At 48.5% G+C, this 20,439-nt stretch overlaps 1 protein-coding gene and 1 long non-coding RNA gene across 3 annotated transcripts in view, besides 2 other annotated features; one reads left to right on the top strand and one right to left on the bottom strand.

The window, feature by feature from the left end:
* The window catches only part of LOC105373929 (uncharacterized), a 30,817-nt gene extending 24,332 nt beyond the window's left edge, over positions 1-6,485 (bottom strand). The window contains exons 1-3 of one of the 2 annotated variants that reach the window (NR_187950.1): positions 6,273-6,485; positions 5,246-5,382; positions 1,087-1,231 (exon numbers count right to left, since the gene is read on the bottom strand). This is a non-coding gene — a long non-coding RNA (uncharacterized LOC105373929). The remainder of the gene's footprint in view (positions 1-1,086; positions 1,232-5,245; positions 5,383-6,272) is intronic. The other variant, NR_187951.1, reaches the window with a different exon arrangement.
* Positions 340-389: an enhancer, noted in NCBI's record as "active region_17324". NCBI's record gives its function as "activates an Ori minimal core promoter by ATAC-STARR-seq in GM12878 lymphoblastoid cells {active_cell/tissue: GM12878}" and the evidence as "EXISTENCE:reporter gene assay evidence [ECO:0000049][PMID:35858748]".
* Positions 430-599: an enhancer, noted in NCBI's record as "active region_17325". NCBI's record gives its function as "activates an Ori minimal core promoter by ATAC-STARR-seq in GM12878 lymphoblastoid cells {active_cell/tissue: GM12878}" and the evidence as "EXISTENCE:reporter gene assay evidence [ECO:0000049][PMID:35858748]".
* EFHD1 (EF-hand domain family member D1) overlaps positions 571-20,439 on the top strand; it is a 76,720-nt gene continuing 56,851 nt past the window's right edge. Inside the window, exon 1 of the mRNA NM_001243252.2 lies at positions 571-687. Within this exon, the coding sequence (NP_001230181.1) occupies positions 674-687 (14 nt within the window). The 5' untranslated portion in view covers positions 571-673. The remainder of the gene's footprint in view (positions 688-20,439) is intronic.

Raw genomic sequence — 20,439 nt, forward strand, 5'->3', positions numbered from 1 at the left:
GAGGGAGGGAGGGAAGGATTAGAAACCAAGTGATCAGACAGTTTGCTCTGTGGCCCCCCAGCTTCCTCTCGCCGTAAGGACGTGGCTCCTCAGTACCAGAAAAACATTGCTGAATGAATAATGCTGTGGGTATGATATTCGGTTCGGGGCCGGGTGCGGTGGCTCACGCCTGTAATCCCAACACTTTAGGAGGCCAAGGTGGGAGGATCACTTGAGGTCAGGAATTCGAGACTAGCTTGGCCAACATGGTGAAACCCCATTTCTGCTAAAAATACAAAAATGAGCTGGGTGTGGTGATGCGCGCCTGTAATCCCAGTTACTCTGGAGGCTGAGGCAGGATAATCGCTTGAACCCGGGAGGCGTAGGTTGCAGTGAACCGAGATTGCGCCACTGCACTCCAGCCTGGCCGACAGAGCGAGACTCCATATCAAAAAAAAAAAAAAAAAAAATCGGTTCTGAGCAAATTTCGAGTCACTGACAAGGCGGCGGTATCCAGCAGAGGGCGCGCCAGGCGCCAGCACCAGGCCCGAGGACGCCTGGCTCATCCCCAGGCCGGCTTCCGAGAGCCCCGCTAAGTGCAGGCGGATACCCCGGCCTTGGCGGCTGCTTGCCTTTCTCCGTACTGTCCCTGTGAAGGCCAAGATCTGTAACGCTGACAGTCCCCAGACATACGATGGGAGAGTTGCAGTAAGTGCTCTTTAAATCCCCTTTCACCCTTGAGAGTCTACGATTTTCGACGTTTTCCAGGCGATTTTTACTCTGGTCCAGAATAGGTGCGCGGTAATTCCTGGCTTTCGCCACCGGAGGGCACTCCCGGCCCTCGCTTCCCTGCCCCGCGCACGGTCTGCGATCGGCTGGGCTTTTAAGCCTTCTCCGCGCCGGCTGGTCTCCCAGAGAATCTAAACTCGAAACTCTTGAGAGACACCCCAGCCTGCAGCAATCCCAGGGTGTGCTGAAGTCCCCATCGTCCTCCCCTGGAATGTCAGTGAATGAGGAAGGTTTCTTTTTTTACTCACCGCCATCCTCCGCTCCCAGTCGTGGGTAGACCCGGCGCTGGGGCTGGGGGACCCTGAGCAGGTTCCTCACCTGCACCGACCCTCATCTTTAAAGTTGGGGTGCGACCGGGCGCGGTGGCTCAGCCTGTAATCCCAGCACTTTGGGAGGCTGAGGCGGGCGGATCACAAGGTCAGGAGATCGAGACCATCCTGTGGATGGTGAAACCCCGTCTCTACTAAAAAAAAAAAAAAAAAAAAATTAGCCGGGCGTGGTGGCGGGCGCCTGTGGTCCCAGCTACTGGGGAGGCTGAGGTAGGAGAATGCCGTGAACCCGGGAGGCGGAACTTGCAGTGAGCTGAGATTGCGCCACTGCACTCCAGCCTGGGCGACAGAGCGAGACTCCGTCTCAAAAAAATAAAATAAAATAAAAATTAAAAAAAAATAAAGTTGGGGTGCACGGAATGGGCCTCAGTGGCACACCCCAATCTGGAGACACATCATAACTTTTTTTTTTTCTTATTATGTTTTTTCTTTTGAGACGGTCTGGCTCTGTCGCCCAGGCTGCAGTGGCGCGATCACGGCTCACTACAACGTCCACCTCCCGGGCTAAAGCGATTCTCCCACCTCAGCCTCCCGAAGTGCTGGGACTACAGGTCCAGGCCACCACGTCTGGCCCATTTTATTTCTAAATGGCTCATGCCTGTAATTCCAGCACTTTGGGAAGCCAGGGCAGTCGGATCACTTGAGCCCAGGATTTTGACACCAGCCTGGGCAACATAGTGAGATCCTATCTGTACAAAAGATTTAAAAATTAGCCGGTCGGGCTGGGCGCGGTGGCTCAGGCCTGTAATCTCAGCACTTTGGGGGGCCGAGGCGGGTGGGGATCACCTGAGGTCAGGAGTTCAAGACCAGCCTGGCCAACATGGTGAAGCCCCGTCTCTCCTAAAAATTAAAAAAAAAAAAAAAGCCTGGCGTGGTAGCAGGCAACTGTTACCCCAGATACTCGGGAGGCTGAGGCAGGAGAATCACTTGAACCTGGGAGGCGGAGGCTGCACTTAGCCGAGATCGCACCACTGTACTCCACCCTGGGTAACAGAGCGAGAATGTCTCAAAAAAAAAAAAAAATTAGCTGGGTGTAGTGCCATGCGCTTATAGTCCCAACTAATCAGGAGACTGAGGTGAGAGAATAGCTTAAGCCCAGCATCAAGGCTGCAGTGAGCTGTGATTGGGCCACTGCACTCCAGCCTGGGCAACAGAGCAAGACCCTATCTCAAAAAAAAAGGAAAGAAAATACAGGCTAAAATTTTTTTTTTTTTTAATTTAAGGTTAGGGCCAGGCGTGGTGGCTCACGCCTATGATCCCAGCACTTTGAGAGGCCAAGTCGGGAGGACAGCTTGAGTCCAGGAGTTCTAGACCAGCCTGGGCAACACAGCAAGACCCTGTCTCTATTTTTTTTAATTAATTAATTAAAAGTCAAATAAAATGAATTGAAGGTAACCACTAACAAGATAATATGGAACTACAGTCCTCAGTATCTGAGGAGGCACTGGTTCTAGGACTCCCATACCAAATCCATGGAATCAAGTCCCTTATATAAATTGCTGTAGGCCGGGCGTGGTGGCTCATGCCTGTAATCCCAGCACTTTGGGAGGCCAAGGCAGGTGGTTCACTTGAAGTCAGGAGTTCAAGACTAGCCTGGCCAACATGGTGAAACCCCGTCTCTACTAAAAATACAAAAATTAGCCTGGCGTGGTGGTGCACATCTGTAATCCCAGCTACTTAGGAGGCTGAGGTGGGAGAATCACTTGAATCCGGGAGGCGGAGGTTGCAGTGAGTCAAGATTGGGTCACTGCACTCCAGCCTGAGCGAGACTTCATCTCAAAATAAATAAATAAATGAATTGGTGTAGTATTTGCATATAACCTACATATACTTAAATCATCTTTAGATTACTTATAATACCTAATACAATGTAAATGCTATGTAGATAGTTGTCCTGCTGTATTGTTTTTTATTTGTATGATTTTTATTGTTATATTTTTTCCTGAATATTTTTGATCTATGGTTGGTTGAATCCCATGGGAATGGGGAGCCAATTGTACTTGGGAAAAAGAGAAGAAAACACTTGATCAGCATTGCAAAGAGAGGGAAAGAAAAACCAGAAAACAGCCGGGCCCAGTGGCTCACGCCTGTAATGCCAGCACTTTGAGAGGCGGAGGCGGGCGGAAAATGAGGTCAGGAGTTCAAGACCAGCCTGGCCAATATGGTGAAACCCCGTCTATACTAAAAAGTACAAAAATTAGCTGGGTGTGGTGGCTCATGCCGGTGGTCCCAGCTACTCAGGAGGCTGAGGCAAGAGAATCGCTTGAACCCAGGAGGCTGAGGTTACAGTAAGCCGGGATCGCGCCACTGCACTCCAGCCTGGCAACAGAGCAAGACTCCATCTCAAAAAATAAAATAAAATACAATGAAAAAGCATTTTGAAACATATCACTATCACAATACATTTGAATGGATGAATCTCTTCTATTACAAGACCAAAAAAATGTTTAAAACATGAGATGCATAAGTTCTTTTTTTTTTTTTTTTTTTTTTTTAGATGGAGTCTTGCTCTGTCACCCAGGCTGGAGTGAAGTGGTGCAATCTCGGCTCACTGCACCCTCTGCCTCCTGGGTTCAGGTGATTCTCCTGTCTCAGCCTCCCGAGTTATTGGGATTACAGGCGCCCACCACCATGCCCGGCTAATTTTTTATATTTTTAGTAGAGACAGGGTTTCGCCATGTTGGCCAGGCTGGTCTTGAACTCCTGACCTCAGGTGATCTGCCTGCTTCAGCCTCCCAAGGTGCTGGGATTACAGGCATGAGCCACTGCACCCAGCCAAGATGCATGAGTTCTTAAAGTGAAAATGAAGTGTTTGCAAACATAGTCTGATCAGGGAAGGCAAGGTCAAGTGAAATATAAATTTTCACTTCAATTATTTGTTAGTTCCTTCCTTTATCATTTTGTTGCAGTGCCTAAGTGTGCCAGGCATGGTGTTGGGTACCAGGGATTCAGAGATGAATTGACTAAAGCCCCCCTAAGTGGCCCCCCAGTAGGAAGGATATCTGTCTTGACCAGAGTTAAACCCAGAGACAGCCAAGGAGGAAGTCTCGGCCTCCTCACCTGAGCCACACTCAGCCTCTTCCACTCCCAAAGGCCTCCTGCTCCTTCACCTTCAGCCCAGCCCAGGCATCTCCCTTGATGCAAGACTCACCCAAGATGAGACGGAAACAGTCCCGACACACAATCAATCCTCACCTTTCTGGCCTTACCTTTTGGCACACAACACAAAAACTCCAGGTGTGCCCTGAGGCCTCTGCAGGGACCCGGCCAGGGGAGTGGTGGCTGAAGCTCCTCCGGGTCTCCTTTCTCAGAGGAGAGAGTAACGTGGGAGAAGCACCGTTTGCCTTTGATACTTACCAAGGTCACTGTGGTTGCTCCCTGTGGAATGACAGGGGCAGCGTCCCCAAAACACTGGCTCCTTCTCCAACCCTCACACATGCATTAAACCCCAAAGGTGAAAGGAGAGGGCTCAGGGCACAGCGCCTGTCCCGCCACATACCAGGAGGGGCTGGGTAGTCCTTGTGGGTTCTCCAAAGCCCGAGTTGGGGAAATGGGGACCCTTCAGACAGGGTTGCCTGTGTCTGTCCCTGTTTGTTTATATCACAGCAGGTTTGTTCTGCAAGGCTGAGGCCCCAGGCCCACCTGCCATCAGCTCCTTGTGGAGGTTGGGTGTGGGAGTGCCCCTCTGGGGACGGAAAGCCCTCCCATCCCTGAGGCTGGGCCTATCTGGGGAGTAGGGGCAGGTGAGCTCCTCCAGCCACTGAGGAGAGAGGGCCTGGTCAGGACCCTGCCCCTGTCATTCCACAGGGAGCAACACACAGGTCTCTAATAAAAACACAAAATTCGCCAGGTGTGGTGGCACATGCCTGTAATCTCAGCTACTCAGGAGGCTGAGGCAGGAGAATCACTTGAACCCAGGAGGCGGAGCTTGCAATGAGATAGCACCACTGCACTCCAGCCTGGGCGACAGAGTGAGACTCCGTCCCCCCGCCCCGAAAAAATATACTGGGCTGGCAGGGCATGGTGGCTCACGCCTGTAATCCCAACACTTTGGGAACCTGAGGCAGGTGGATTGCTTGTGCTCAGGAGTGCGAGACCACCCTGGGCAACATGGCAAAACTACGTTTCTGTAAAAATTAAAAAATTACCTGGGTGTGGTGGCATGCGCCTGTAGTCGCGGCTACTCAGGAGGCTGAGGTGGGAGGATCATCTGAGCCTGGGGATGTCAAGGCTGCTGTGAGGCATGATCGCACCACACACTCCAGCCTGGGTGACAGAGCAAGACCTGACTAAAAGAAAATACTGACATTAAGCTGGGCACAGTGGCTCACGCCTGTAATCTCAGCACTTTGGGAGGCACAGGCGGAAAGATCGCTTGAGGCCATGAGTTCGAGATCAGCCTGGGAAACATAATGAGACCTCATCTCTACAAATTTTATTTTTACTTAGCCAGGCGTGGTGGTGTGCACCCATCGTCCTAGATACTCAGGAGGCTGAGATGAGGGGATCCCTTGAGCCCAGAAGGTTGAGGCTGCAGTGAGCTATGATTGTATTACTGCATTCTGGCCTGGGCAACAGCATGAGACCATGTTGCCCAGGCTGGTCTTGAACTCCTGGCCTTGAGAGTTCCTCCCACCTAGGCCTCCCAAAGTGTGGGATTACAAGCGTGAGTCCCTGTGCCCGGCCTCCAGGGGCTTCTTGATAGAACAAGCATCCTGGGGGTCGGGGGGGGGGCATCCCGATTAGAAAATGTCCCTCCTGAGTCTCTCTGAAGCCCTAAAGCCAAGTGAAGACCCCAGCTCTGCATCTTGGCCCACAGTGGATCTTGAGAGGGGGCCATGGGAGTTCTCATCATCGATGAGACGTTCTATCATTGGAGGACCCCAGTCACCTGAGAAATGAAGAAACGGGTCAGAGGACTCGACAGGGATGGGTGGGCCAGCGGTGCCCCCAGCTCTGCACCGCGTGATGGAGCCTCTTTTGCATTTGCAGCTCCCTCCCCCGGGGCAGAACAGTTCTGTTTGTCTTCCCAAACCGCAGAGATTCCAAGAACGAAGGAAATCTGATACCCCTAAGGCAAGAACAGTTCCAGCCCTATTCTGCCAACAGGAAGCCTTTGCCCACGCCCAAGAGAGAGGGCAAGTGAGAGGCCCCCGCCCCAGGGTTCCCACCAACCTTCCAGGGGACACCAGGAGCCATCTGCCATGTGGTTCCCGCAGCAGCCAGCAGGGGGCAGCCTGTCAAAGACTTCCTGGGACCATGTTGCCCCCGACTTGTGCAGGTTCCCACAGGCCAGCACCCAGTGTGGAAAACAGCATGTGGTAGCAGGGGGTTAGGTGTCCGGCATGAACCAGCCTGGCCTTTACCTTTTGGGTGTTTTTCCTGTCTAGCCCACCCAAAATGTGGAAACCTTAACAGCAGACATGGATTATGATGTCAGAGTTTGGGTTTTTTTTAGGAGTATTGTTATGTTGCCCAGACTGATCTCCAACTCCTGAGCCCAAGCGATCCTCCCAACTGAGCCTCCTAAGTAGCTGGGACTACAGGCACCTGCCACTGTGCCCAGCTTGATGTCAGTTTGTAGCATTGCAACTTTGCTTTAGCCTAATTTCTGAGCAATACCCAATCAGCTAGGCCTGGAGCACCATCCCCACACTGAATTTCTCCCTCTTTTGGATATTTTGTGGACATTAAAAGCAAGCATGGGCTTCAAAAGACACCCAAAAGCTGGGAGAAAATATTTTAAAAGACAAACCACAGACTGGGAGAAAATATTCACAATCTATGTATCTAGTAAAAGACTTGTATCCAGAATATACAAAGTACTTTTATAACTCACTAAATAATAAGACAAACATCTCAACAGAAATGGGCAAAAGATTTGAATCAACATTTCATCAAAGAAGATATGTGGAAAGTCACTAGAGACATGAAAAACGGACCCCATCATCAGACATAAGGGAAATGCTCCTTGAAACCACAATGAGATGATACCATTTCCACCCCATTGGAGTGGCTGCAGTCTGAGAGGCTGACCACACCAAGACTTGTGAGGATATGGAGCAAGGCAGGCTCTCATGCGCTGCTATTGGAAATAGAAAATAGTACAACTACTTTGGAAAATAGTTTGGTAGTTTCTTTTTTTCTTTTCTTTTTTTTTTTTTTTTGAGATGGAGTCACACTCTATTGCCCAGGCTGGAGTGCAGTGGCGTGATCTCGGCTCACTGCAACCTCCACCTTCTGGGTTCAAGCAATTCTCCTGCCTCAGCCTCCCAAGTAGGTGGGACTACAGGGATACACCACCACGTCCAGCTAATTTTTGTATTTTTAGTAGAGATGGGGTTTCGCCATGTTAGCCAAGCTGGTCTCGAACTCGTGACCTCAGGTGATCCACCCGCTTTAGCCTCCCAAAGTGCTGGGATTACAGGTGTGAGCAACTGTACCTGGCCAGTTTCTTTAAAAAATTGAAATGTAACATTTAGAGCATACACTATCCCATTCCTAGGTAATTAACCACCCCCTGCCCCCCACCAAAAAATATATGAAAGCATATGTCCAGGCCAGGCGTGGTGGCTCATGTCTGTAAGCCCAGCACTTTGGGAGGCCGACGTGGGTGGATCACTTGAGCCCAGGAGTTCAAGACCAGCCTGACTAATATGGTGAAATCCTGTCTCTACTAAAAATACGAAAATGAGCTGGTCATGATGGCATGCACCTGAAATCCCAGCTACCCCAGAGACTGAGGCAGAAGAATCACTTGAACCCTGGAGGCAGAGGTTGCAGTGAGCCGAGATCACGCCCCTGCACTCCAGCCTGGGCAACAGAGCAAGACTCTGTCTCAAGAAAGAAGCATATGTCCACACAAAGACTCAAACACAGAGACGAAAATTTCCACAGCAGCTTTACTAGTAACAGCCCCAAAATTGAAAACAACCCCAATGCTCACCATGAATAATGAGTAGATAAGCAAATTGTGGACTATCCATCCAATGAACTACTGCACAGGGACAAAGAGGAACCACACACACACACACACACACACACACACATATACACACACATACACACACACACAAATACACACACACAAATATACACACATACACAAATATACACACACATACACACACAAATATACACACACATATACGCACACACATACACACACAAATACGCACACACATACACACACAAATATACACACACATATACACACAAAAATATACACACATATACACACACAAATATACACACATACACACACAAATATATACACACATAGACAAATATACACACACATATACACACACAAACACATACAAATATACACACACAAATATATACACATACCCATATACACACATAAATATACACACACATACACACGTGAATACACACACACATACATACACATGTGCACATACACATATACACACAAATACACACACAAACATACACAAACACACACATACATACACATGCACACACATTATACACACATATATACACACATACACATGTATTATACACACATGCACATACATATGTACACACATACATATACACACACACATTTACACATATATACAAACACACACACCTATACACACACACACATATATATTTCTAAATACAGTTGGCCCTTGAACAACACAGGTTTGAACTGCATGCCTCAAATTATACTCAGATTTTTTTTCAGTAAAAGTGACCCTGAGTGTGCCTGCCTCTCCTGCCTCTCCTCCCACCTCCTCCATCTCTTAGCCCTCTGCCTTCTCTGAGACAGCGAGACCAACCCCTCCCCTTCCTCCTCTGCCTCCTCAAGGTGGAGACAACCAGGATGAAGACCTTTACAATGATCCACTTCCACTTAATGAATGGTAAATAGAGCTTCTCTTCCTTACAATTTCCTTGATAACGTTTTGTCTTCTGTAGCTGACTTTATTGTAGGAAAGCAGTGTGTAGTACACGGAACCCACCAAATAAGTCTGCTTTCTAATCCCCTCAAGAATTAGAATGAGTGGATTGTTTGGCAATTGTGGAGTCCCAGGTTCTGGCAAAGGAGCTGAGTGGTCTTTTAAAATGTTTTTATTTTTAGTTTTAAAAATCATTTGGCCAGGCGCAGTGGCTAATGCCTGTAATCCTAGCAATTTGGGTGGCTGAGCCAGGTGGATTATTTGAGCCCTGGAGTTCGAGACCAGCCTGGGCAACATGGTGAAACCCTGACTCTACAAAAAATACAAAAATTAGCCAGGTATGGTGGTGCACACCTGTAGTCCCAGCTACTCGAGAGGCTGAGGCAGGAGGATCGCTTGAGCCCAGGAGATGAAGGCTGCTGTGAGCCGGGATTGCGCCACTGCACTCCAGTCTGGGTGACAGAGTGAGACTGTGTCTCAAAAAAGAAAAATGATTTGTATTTATTTATTAAAGATGGGTCTCTCTTTGATACCCAGGCTGGAGTTGCTATGGCAGGACTATGGCTCACTGCAGTCTCCACCTCCTGGGCTCAAGCAATCCTCCCACCTTAGTCTCCCAAGTAGAGGGGACTACATGCACCCACCACCACTTACAGCTCGAAATATGTGTTAACTGACTGTTTGCGCTATAGGCAAGGCTTCTGTCAATAGCAGGCTATTAGCAGTTAACTTGTTGGGGAATGAAAAGTTATATTAGGATTTTTTACTGTTGGGGGGGCATCCTTAACCCCCTGCATTGTTCAAGTGTCAACTATAGTGTGTGTGTGTGTGTGTGTGTGTGTGTGTGTGTGTGTGTATTTACATATTTTTTCTTAGAAGGTCAAGGTTGATACTGTATTTACGCACCAGAGTAACCATAATTCTCCCTCTTATTTCGCCTTTACTTTTAAATAGATTTGGTGCTCACCTCGACCTTCTGCAGCTTTTCCCTGCCTGCTCTTGTTTATGTGGATTGACCTCTGGATGGTACTGTCAGGCACAGAGGGGTTTTGTTTCTTCAAGAGATCACGGGCCTGCATGCTCTGAGAGTCTGCAGGACGCCTGACCTTTGAAGGAAGGCTTTGCTGAGTAACACTTTTTAAAAAATAGTGTAGTCGTTTTTAAAAATACATTTTCTTTTTCTTTTCCTTTTTTTTTTTTTTTTTTTTGAGACGAGGTTTCGCTCTTGTTGCCCAGGCTGGAGTGCAATGGTGCAATCTCAGCCCACCACAACCTCCACCTCTCGGGCTCAAGTGATTCTCCTGCCTCAGTCTCCCGAGTAGCTGGGATTACAGGCATGCGCCACCAGGCCCGGCTAATTTTGTATTTTTAGTAGAGATGGGGTTTCTTCTTGTTGGTCAGGCTGGTCTTGAATTCCCGACCTTAGGTGATCTGCCCACCTTGGCCTCCCAAAGTGCTGGGATTATAGGCGTGAGCCACGGAGCCCAGCCCCTAAAATACATTTTTATTGAGGCGCAACATTGTTCCAGCCGTTTGTTGTGGTATAACAACACCTAGAATCAAAATTTTAGTGGCGTGCCATGTTCATAGCCGACTTACTCACACAGCCAAAAGGTGGAAACCATCCAAGAGTCTGCCGACAGATGAATGGAGAAATCAAACCTGGGGTATAGAGAAAACGCAGTATTACTCAGCCTTCGACAGGGAGGAAATTCTGACACCTGAGACAACGTGGATGAACCTTGAGACATGCTCAGTGAAATAAGCCAGTCACAAAAGGACAAATACTGCACGATACCACTTTATTTATTTTTTTTTTTGAGACAGAGTCTCACTCTGTCGCCCAAGCTGGAGTGCAGTGGCACAATCTCGGCTCACGGCAACCTCCGCCTCCCGGGTTCAAGCAGTTCTCCTGTCTCAGCCTCCTGAGTAGCTGGGATTACAGGCACACGCCACCACACCCAGCTAATTTTTGTATTTTTAGTAGAGATGGGGTTTCACCATATTGGTCAAGCTGGTCTTGAACTCCTGACCTCAGGTGATCTACCCACCTCGGCCTCCCAAAGTGCTGGGATTACAGGCGTGAGCCACCACACCTAGCCACATGATGCCACTTATATGAGGTCTCTAAAGTAGTCAAATTCAGAGAGACAGAAGTAGAATGGTGGTTGCATAGGGCTGGGAATGGGGGATGGAGAGTGGGTATTTAATGGGTAAGAATTTCAATTTTACAGGATACAAAAGCTCTGGAGATCTATTGCACAGTAATGTGGATGTACTTAATACTGCTGAAATGTACACCTAAAAATGGTTAAGATGATGGTAAATTTTAGCTGTAATTTACCACAAATTTAAAACATAAACTTAGTGGCATAAAGCAGGCACCCCCATTGTGTGATTTCCTGGGTTCCCTGGTCAGGAGTTTGGGCACAGGCAAGGTTGCCCTTCTCTTGCACTAGGATGTCTGAGGCCTCATCTGGAGGCGACCCTAGTGAGTAGGGCTGGAAGGGCTAGAGACAGATAATCTACTTCCAAGACCATGCGTTTACTCACACGTGTGGGACCTGAGCTGGGATGGCCCAAGGACGGGCTCTTCGGGGCCCATTGACTGGAGCCCTCCATGTGGCACTTTCAGCATGGCAGCCTCCAAGCAATCAGATTCCATTCGCGGTGGTTCAGGGTTCCAAAACAAGTGTCCCCAGCAGGTAAGGCCATGTGGCCTTTTATGACCTAGTCTCAGAAGTGACAAAGTCACCACTTTTATGAATTGCTTCTTTACTGCAATGTACGTACTTTAACAAACTTCAGCATCAACAGTGAAATGTTATGTGTATGCTGGTAAACCCTTAACTCAGTATGTATCAAGAATGCTGGCCGGGCGCAGTGGCTCACGCTTTAATCCCAGCACTTTGGGAGGCTGAGGCAGGTGGATCACGAGGTCAGGAGATCGAGACTATCCTGGCTGACACGGCGAAACCCCGTCTTTACTAAAAAAAAATACAAAAAAATTAGCCAGGCGTGGTGGTGGGCGCCTGTAGTCCCAGCTATTCGGGAGGCTGAGGCAGGAGAATGGCGTGAACCCAGGAGGCGGAGCTTGCAGTGAGCCGAGATCGCCCACTGCACTCCAGCCTGGGCAACAGAGCGAGACTCCGTCTCAAAAAAAAAAAAAAAAGAATGCTGCCAGGGCTGGGCACGGTGGCTCATGCCTGTAATCCCAGCACTTTGGGAGGCCAAGGCAGGTGGATCACCTGAGGTCAGGAGTTCAAGACCAGCCATGGTTGTCTCTACTAAAAATACAAAACATTAGCCAGGTGTGGTGGTGGGTGCCTGTAATCCCAGCTACTCCGGAGGCTGAGGCAGGAGAATCGCTTGAACCTGGGAGGCAGAGGTTACAGTGAGCCAAGATCGTGCCACGGCACTCCAGCCTGGGTGGCAGAACAAGACTCAGTCTAAAAAAAAAAAAGAATATATTCTAAAAACCCTTATAACTCAACAGTAAAAAGATAAATAAACCAATTTAATTTAATTTATTTATTTATTTGAGATGGAGTCTCGCTCTGCCACCCAGGCTGGAGTGCAGTGGCTTGATCTCGGCTCACTGCAACCTCTGCCTTCTGGGTTCAAGTGATTCTCCTGCCTCAGCCTCAAGAGTAGCTGGGACTACAGGTGCACACCACCGTGCCCGGATAATTTTTGTACTTTTAGTGGAGATGGGCTTTCACCATTTTGGCCAGGCTGGTCTGGAACTCCTGACCTCAGGTGATCCACCTGCCTTGGCCTCCCAAAGTGCTAGGATTACAGGTGTGAGCCACCATGCCCGGCAATAAACCAGTTTTAAAATGGACAAGGGATTTGAACAGACATTATTCCAAAGAAGATATACAAATAGCTAATAAGCACAGGAACACGTGCTCAACGTTATTAGTCATTAAGGAAATACATGCAGCTGGGTGTGGTGGCGTGCGCCTATAATCCCAGAACTTTGGGAGGCCAAGGCAGCTGATCACATGAGTCCAGGAGTTTGAGACCAGCCTGAGCAACATGTTGAGACCCTGTCTCTACTAAAAATACAAAACTTAGCTGGGTGTGGTGGCATGCATCTTGTAGTCCCAGCTACCCGGGAGGCTGAGGTAAGAGGATTGCTTGAGCCTAGGAGGTAGAGGCTGCAGTGAGCCATGATTGCACCACTGCACTCCAGCCTGGGTGACAGAGCAAGACTCTGTCTCAAAAAAAAAAAAAAATTTTGAAAAAAGGGAAATACATGCTACAACTTGAATGCACCTCAAAAACATTATGAAGAATGAAAGAGGCCAGACACAAAAGGTCACATATTATATAATTATTTTGGTATGAAGTAACCGGATTGGCTAGGCGTGGTGGCTCATGCCTGTAATCCCTGTACTTTGGGAGGCCAAGGTGGGTGGATCACCTGAGGTCAGAAGTTTGAGACCAGCCTGACCAACATGGTGAAACACCATCTCTACTAAAAATACAAAACAAAAATTAGCCAGGCATGGTGGCAGGCATCTGTAATCCCAGCTACTCCGGAGGCCGAGGCAGGAGAATCGCTTGAACCTGGGAGGCAGGCAGAATTTGCAGTGAGCCGAGATCGCGCCATTGCACTCCAGCCTGGGCAACAAGAGCAAAACTCCATCTCAAAATATAAATAAATAAATAAATAAATAAATAAATAAACAAACAAACAAACAAATAAGAATTAACCAGAATGGGCAAAATGTAAAGACAGAAAAGCAGATTGGTTGTTGCCAGGGGATGGGAGGAGGGGGAAATAAAGGGTGATTTCTTTCTTTCTTTCTTTTTTTTTTTTTTTGAGATGAAGTCTCGCTCTTTTTCCCTAGGCTGGAGTGTGATGGCGCGATCTCGGCTCACTGCAACCTCTGCCTCCTGGGTTCAAGTGACTTTCCTGCCTCAGCCTCTGGAGCAGCTAGGATTACAGGCGCCTGACACCATGCCCGGCTAATTTTTGTATTTTTAGTAGAGACGAGGTTTCACCATGTTGGCCAGGCTGGTCTCAAACTCCTGACCTCAGGTGATCCACCTGCCTCAGCCTCCCAAAGGCTGGAATTACGGGTGTGAGCCACTGTGCCCAGCCAAGAGTGATTTCTTAAGGAAGTACTTGGTATTTTTCTGGAATGATGAAAAAATTTTGAAACTAGAAAGAGGTGGTGGTTGCGCAACACTAGGAAAGCTCTGGATGCCACTGAATTGTACGCATCAAAATGGTGAATTGGAGCCTGGTGCAGTGGCCTGGAACTGTAATGCCAGAGACTCAGGAGGCTGAGGTGGGAGGATCACTTGAGCCCAGGAGTTCAAGGCTGCATTGAGCTATGATCCTATGATCAGGCCACTGCACTCCAGCCTGGGCAACAGGGCGAGATCCCTGACTCAATTAAAATAAAAAATATATATTAAAAAACAAAAGAATGCACAGGCTCCAGGGGTATGAGCCACTATCGTATCAGCAGGGTCTCACTCCAGATGTGGCTAATACAAGTCTTTCTGTGATCCATAGCTTTATCAATAATCTAAGCTTGATTTGCTAATTAGCATAATGATGTCATTTTTTTTTTTTTTAAGAGACAGAGTCTCGGCCGGGCGCGGTGGCTCACGCCTGTAATCCTAGCACTTCGGGAGGCTGAGGCGGGTGGATCACGAGGTCAGGAGATCAAGACCATCCTGGCTAACACAGTGAAACCCCGTCTCTACTAAAAATACAAAAAATTAGCCGGGCGCGGTGGCAGGCACCTGTAGTCCCAGCTACTCGGGAGGCTGAGGCAGGAGAATGGCGTGAACCCGGGAGGTGGAGGTTGCAGTGAGCAGAGATAGCGCCACTGCAGTCCGGCCTGGGCGACAAAACGAGACTCCATCTCAAAAAAAAAAAAAAAAGAGACAGAGTCTCACTCTGTCTCCCAGGCTGGAGGGTAGTGGTGCAATCATAGCTCATCACAGTCTTGAACTCCTGTGCTTAAGCGATCCTCCTGCCTCAGCCTCCTGAGTAGCTGGGACTACAGGTGTGTGCCATCACTCCTGTCTGATTTTTTTTTTGGTAGAGACAGGGTCTGGCTGTGTTGCCCAGCCAGGCCTTATTATTGTTTTGTAAGAGCTTCCCTTTCCTTTAAGATTCTGGATACTTTGATACATTTATTGAAGATACCTTCTCTAAGTGTACATAATTAAATCTTGAAATACATTTTCTTGGAACAGACTGTTCTTAACTGAAATTGTAAATAGGTGAATGTTGTGCTGCAGATTCCGAAAAAGCCAAACCATCCCCGCTCATCTCCAGACCCAGTGGGCCTTTGTCTAAGGATGTCACAGGCCATAATTCCCAAGCAGCAGCCACATTCTTAGAAAGGCTGAGGAACTGGGTTCCACGTTCTGGGGAGGTGTGGACACATCTGCTTAGGAATATAGGAGGAATTTGGGACAGGGTGAGGGAGTGTCGGGGTTCTCTAAGAGGGAGGGGCACGGATGGCAAGGAATGAAGGGGAGGAAGAGCTGAGCCACACAGCCAATTTGGAATGGAAGCAGTTGCTAAGGCCAAGGTTTTCCAAAAGTCAAATGGAAGTCATTGTCATGCAGCAATATGGCTCCCTGCTGTTTCCAAACCACCCTGACTGCTGTGGGCTTTTGAAATCATGAATCATGAGTGGCTGAGTGGCTGTCTGCATAGCAGGGATGTGGGTGAAGGCTGTAAGGCGCTCCCTCCAAAATTGGCGTAGTCTGTGCCTGCAGATATGAAAGGGGTACACAGAGAATCTCTGGTGGCTGGAACCAATTTCCCCCATCCCCAACCTCAGCCGCCACCTGTGCTGAGCCTGTAGCAACAGGGACACAGCGGCAGAGTGACATTTACTGAACAGCTAAGTGCTTTACAGGCCATCGATTGTCATAACATCCTTCTAAGTCTTGTGATTGGTATTCTTTCGTTTTTTCTTTCTTTTTTTCTCTTTGAGATGGAGTGTCACTCTGTCGCCCAGGCTAGAGTGCAGTGGCGCAATCTCAGCTCACTGCAACCTCCACCTCCCGGGTTCAAGTGATTCCCCTGCCTCAGCCTCCCAAGTAGCTGGGATTATGGGCACCCGCCACCATGCCCGGCTAATTTTGTATTTTTAGTAGAGACGGGGTTTCACCATGTTGACCAGGCTGGTCTCGAACTCCTGACCTCAGGTGATCCACCCGCCTTGGCCTCCCAAAGTGCTGGGATTACAGGCGTGAGCCACTGTGCCTGGCCCAGTGGGCATTATTTCTATTGCATATATGGGGAAATTGAAGTTCAAAGAAGTTAAGTAACTTACTCCAAGTCATATAGCCTCTGAGTGACACAGCCAGGATTTATACAATTCCTCTTCTCACCCCTCTGTGCCCATGACAGAGGGCTCCTGGTTGTGTCTGAAGGGAAGAGCCAGGATAGTTTATTATTACCAGAACTCAAAAGGTTAATTTGTCCTGTGCTGTATATAAAAACTGCCAGAGAATTTGGGGAATTGAATGAAGTATCATCTCCCCAAACTTCCTTAAGAAATGCTCCCGTCAGCAGGTGCCTAGCACGAGGCAAACCTTTGAACTTTGGACATGACCCTTCTCTACAAAGGGTAGACAGCCCTACCCACTACCACGGAATTCCTGCTGCCCAGGACCCAGACTTGAACAATAAAAGACATCTGGGGCCGGGCATGGTGGCTTACGCCTGTAATCCCAGCACTCTGGGAGGCCGAGGCAGGCGGATCACCTGAGGTCAGGAGTTCGAGACCAGCCTGGCCAACATGGTGAAACCCCGACCCTATTAAAAATACAAAAAATTAGCCAGGCATGGTGGCGGACGCCTGTAATCCCAGCTACTTGGGAGGCTGAGGCAGGAGAATTGCTTGAACCTGGGAGGCGGAGGTTGCAGTGAGCTGAGATCATACCACTGCACTCCAGCCTGGGCAATGAGAGCAAAGCTCCGTTTCGCTGGGGGCGGGGGTGGGGGGGAAGACATCTGGGAACTGGGACCAGTGGGTTTTATTTATTTAGACCCCAGGTCTAGCATCCCTGGAGCCTGGGTCGGATTTGTGTGAATCTGAACACCTTGGTGAGAGGTGAGGGAGTAATGAGTGGGGCAGATTTCAGAGGAGAAGTAATGGAGGCCAGAGATGAAGCCTGATCAGAGCCGCTCGGTGGTGGGACGTCCTCTCCAGTGAGGGTTGCAGGAGAGGCAGCAGCTGCTCCGGTTTGCCTTCTGGGCCTGAGCTATTCCACGAGGTTGCCACCAGCTGCACGTGGCTATCAGGTGCTTGAAATGTGGCCAGTCTGATTGAGATGAGCAGCAAGTGTAAAATACACCCTACATTACAAAGCCTTGGCATGAGATAAAGTAATGTAAAATATCTCATTAATAGTTTTATATTGATTACATGTAGGGATGATAATGTTGGACATATATTGGATTACATTAAATGTTATTAAAATTAATTTCACCTGTTTTATTTTTCTTCCTTTACTTTTAAAAGCATATGGCCACTAGAAAACTTTTCTTCTTTTCTTTTCTTTTCTTTTCTTTTTTTTGAGATAGGGTCTTGCTCTGTTGCCCAGGCTGGAGTGCAAAGGCACGATCAGGGCTCACTACAGCCTCGACCTCCTGGGCTCAAACGATCCTCCTACTTTGGCCTCCCGAGTAGTTGGGACTACAGGTGTGTGCCACCACACCTGGCTAATTTTTTATTTTTTGTAGAGATGGGGTCTCACCATGTTGCCTAGGCTTGTCTCAAACTCCTAGACACAATCCATCCTCCCACTTCAGTCTCCCAAAGTGCTGGGATTACTGGTGTGAGTCACGGCACCCGGCCTAGAAAATTTTCAATTCAAAATTACAAATGAAATTGCTCATTCTGAGGCCGGGTATTGTGGCTCATGCCTGTAATCCTAGCACTTTGGGAGGCCGAGGCGGGTGGATCACCTGAAGCCAGGAGTTCGAGACCAGCCTGGCCAACACAGTGAAACCGCGTCTCTACTAAAAATACAAAAATTAGCCAGGTGTGGTGGCAGGTGCCTGTAATCCCAGCTTCTCAGGAGGCAGAGACAGGAGAATCGCTTGAACCCGAGAGGCAGAGGTTGTAAGTGAGCCAAGATTATGCCATTGCACTCCAGCCTGGGCGACAGAGTGAGTCTCTGTCCAAAAAAAAAAAAAAAAAAAAAGAAGAAGAAGAAGAAGAAGAAGAAAGAAAGAAAGAAAAAAAAGAAATAGCTCATTCTATTTCTGTTGGACAGCGCTGTCTTCGACCAGTCCTTCCTGCCTGCGTGAGTGAAGGGAGGACAAGTGGGCAGAGGGCTGAGCTCCTTCAGAGGAAAGCATTGCCTCCTGGCCCCCCAGGTGAGAGCTGTGTGCAGGCCTGTGCAGAGAAGGGGAAGAGAGAGCAGAATCGCCCCAGGGGCCAGAACCAAGAGTTGACCGACCAGATGTAGGGGCAGACAGCTGGGAGGATGGAGCTTCCTAGGGCGGTGCCAGCCCCTGAAGGGCATGGGTGGGGACAAGATGGGGCCAGGTGGGTCATCTTCTTATAGCCATGCCCAGGGCTGTGGGGGTGGGGTCTGCTCTCCCTCCCTGCAGCCGTTTAGGACTCATAGGTTTTTTGCTGCTCCTGTCGGGTGAGGAATAAGACTGATGTTTTCTTTATTTTGGAATCCTTTGTTGTTCTCTTGATTCTCTGAGCCTGTGGGGAGCTGAGCCTACCCAGGGAACCCAGGTCTTTGCTAATCAGCCCCCTGGGGGTGCTCCCTATCAAGTCCCTAAAGTCCCCCAGCCCCAGCTTGCCCCCCAGACCACAGACATGGATGACAGGAGCCACAGGGGGCTTTGGGAACCAGGCCTCACCTGGGGGTTAGAGCCTGTGGGTCTGGCTTGGCGCCTGGAGTCTAAGTTTAAAAGCTCCCCTATTCTTGATGCCTGATTCTCTGATTCTCTGCCAGGAATTTCTCCAGCAGCTGTGCCAACACAGGGGCTCCAGGGCCTATGCCAGGGGGCACCCTTGTGTCTGGCTTGCTGGGATTCATTTACACAGTCTGTGCTAATAAAAGAGATGGGGAGAACCGCATTTAGCTAGTGCCTGGGGGCTATCCACTGGGCACTGGCAGCCAAGCCGGGGAAAGTTGTGTGAATCACTTTAAGGGTTTCCCAAATGTAAACAAAGGCTTGAAACTTGCCCTTGAGGAGACATCCCTGGAGGAAAGGTGAAGTCATTGAGGGCTATCTAGAAACATCTATAGGGAAAGAATTAGAGGAAAGGACACAATTGCCAGAAGATGCTGGCAAAAAAGGAGGAGCTCCACGCTTACAGCCTCTGTTTTTCAGTTCTAGCCCTCAATTCACTGTTAGACCCCCTCACTTTCTGCTGGTCATGATTTAAATGTCACCGACTCCATGATGCCCCTCCTGGTCATTTTACCTAAAATTACAACTTGCCCCACCACTCCCGACACACTTTTCTTAGATGCTTTTCTGACTTATTTTTATCTTAGTACTTATCATCCAAGCTAGATTTTTATTTATTTTGTTGACTATCTGTTTCCCCCATTAGAATGTGGGCCATAAAGGCAGGGATTTTGTATTATTTTGCTGGTACTGGGTTCATATTTGTTTGTTTGTTTTTTGAGACAAAGTCTCACTCTGTCGCCCAGGCTGGAGTGCAGTGGCGCAATCACAGCTCACTGCGGCTTTGATCTCTTAGGCTCAAGCAATCCTCCCACCTCAGCCTCCGGAGTAGCTGGGACTACAGGAACGCACCACCATGCCTGGCTAATTTAAACATTTTTTTTTTTTTTTGGCAGAGATGGGATCTCGCTATGTTGCCCAGGACTGGTCTTGAACTCCTAGGCTCAAACAATCCTCCGACATTGGCCTCCCAAAGTGCAGGGCAAGCCACCGTACCCGGTCTGACTTCCTATTTGTTGATTGAAGCAATATATGCATGCCTGAATATATGAGATTTTTCAACTTCCAACCCAAAAGCCGCTTAGGATGGGAGTCTACCCTCTGCTCTTTGCAATACTGTGTAGATAACAAAATATAGAAATGACCTTGAATGTCCACCAACAGGGACAGGTTAGTTAACGGATGCTACACACAGAGAACAGAATACTCAGCTGCCAGTAAAAGAAATAAGGTAGATTAATGATTCCTCAAAGTGCTCCACATACCTCTGAGAACCATTTTCATAATACTAAGACAGTATTTGCCTTTTTCAATGTGTTGACATTTGTACCCATGATGCGAAAGGAATGGTGGGTAAACCTGACATCACCTTAGCCTGAATTAAGGCAGTGGCATCAAACTATACCAGGAGTTATTGTACTCTTCACCATCATACACTCCTCATTTAAAAAAAAATTAATTGCATTTAAGAATGTCCTTGAGGCTGGACGTGGTGACT

This window comes from Homo sapiens, chromosome 2 (genome assembly GCF_000001405.40).
Source record: "Homo sapiens chromosome 2, GRCh38.p14 Primary Assembly".
In the NCBI taxonomy this organism is placed as follows: Eukaryota; Metazoa; Chordata; class Mammalia; order Primates; family Hominidae; genus Homo; species Homo sapiens.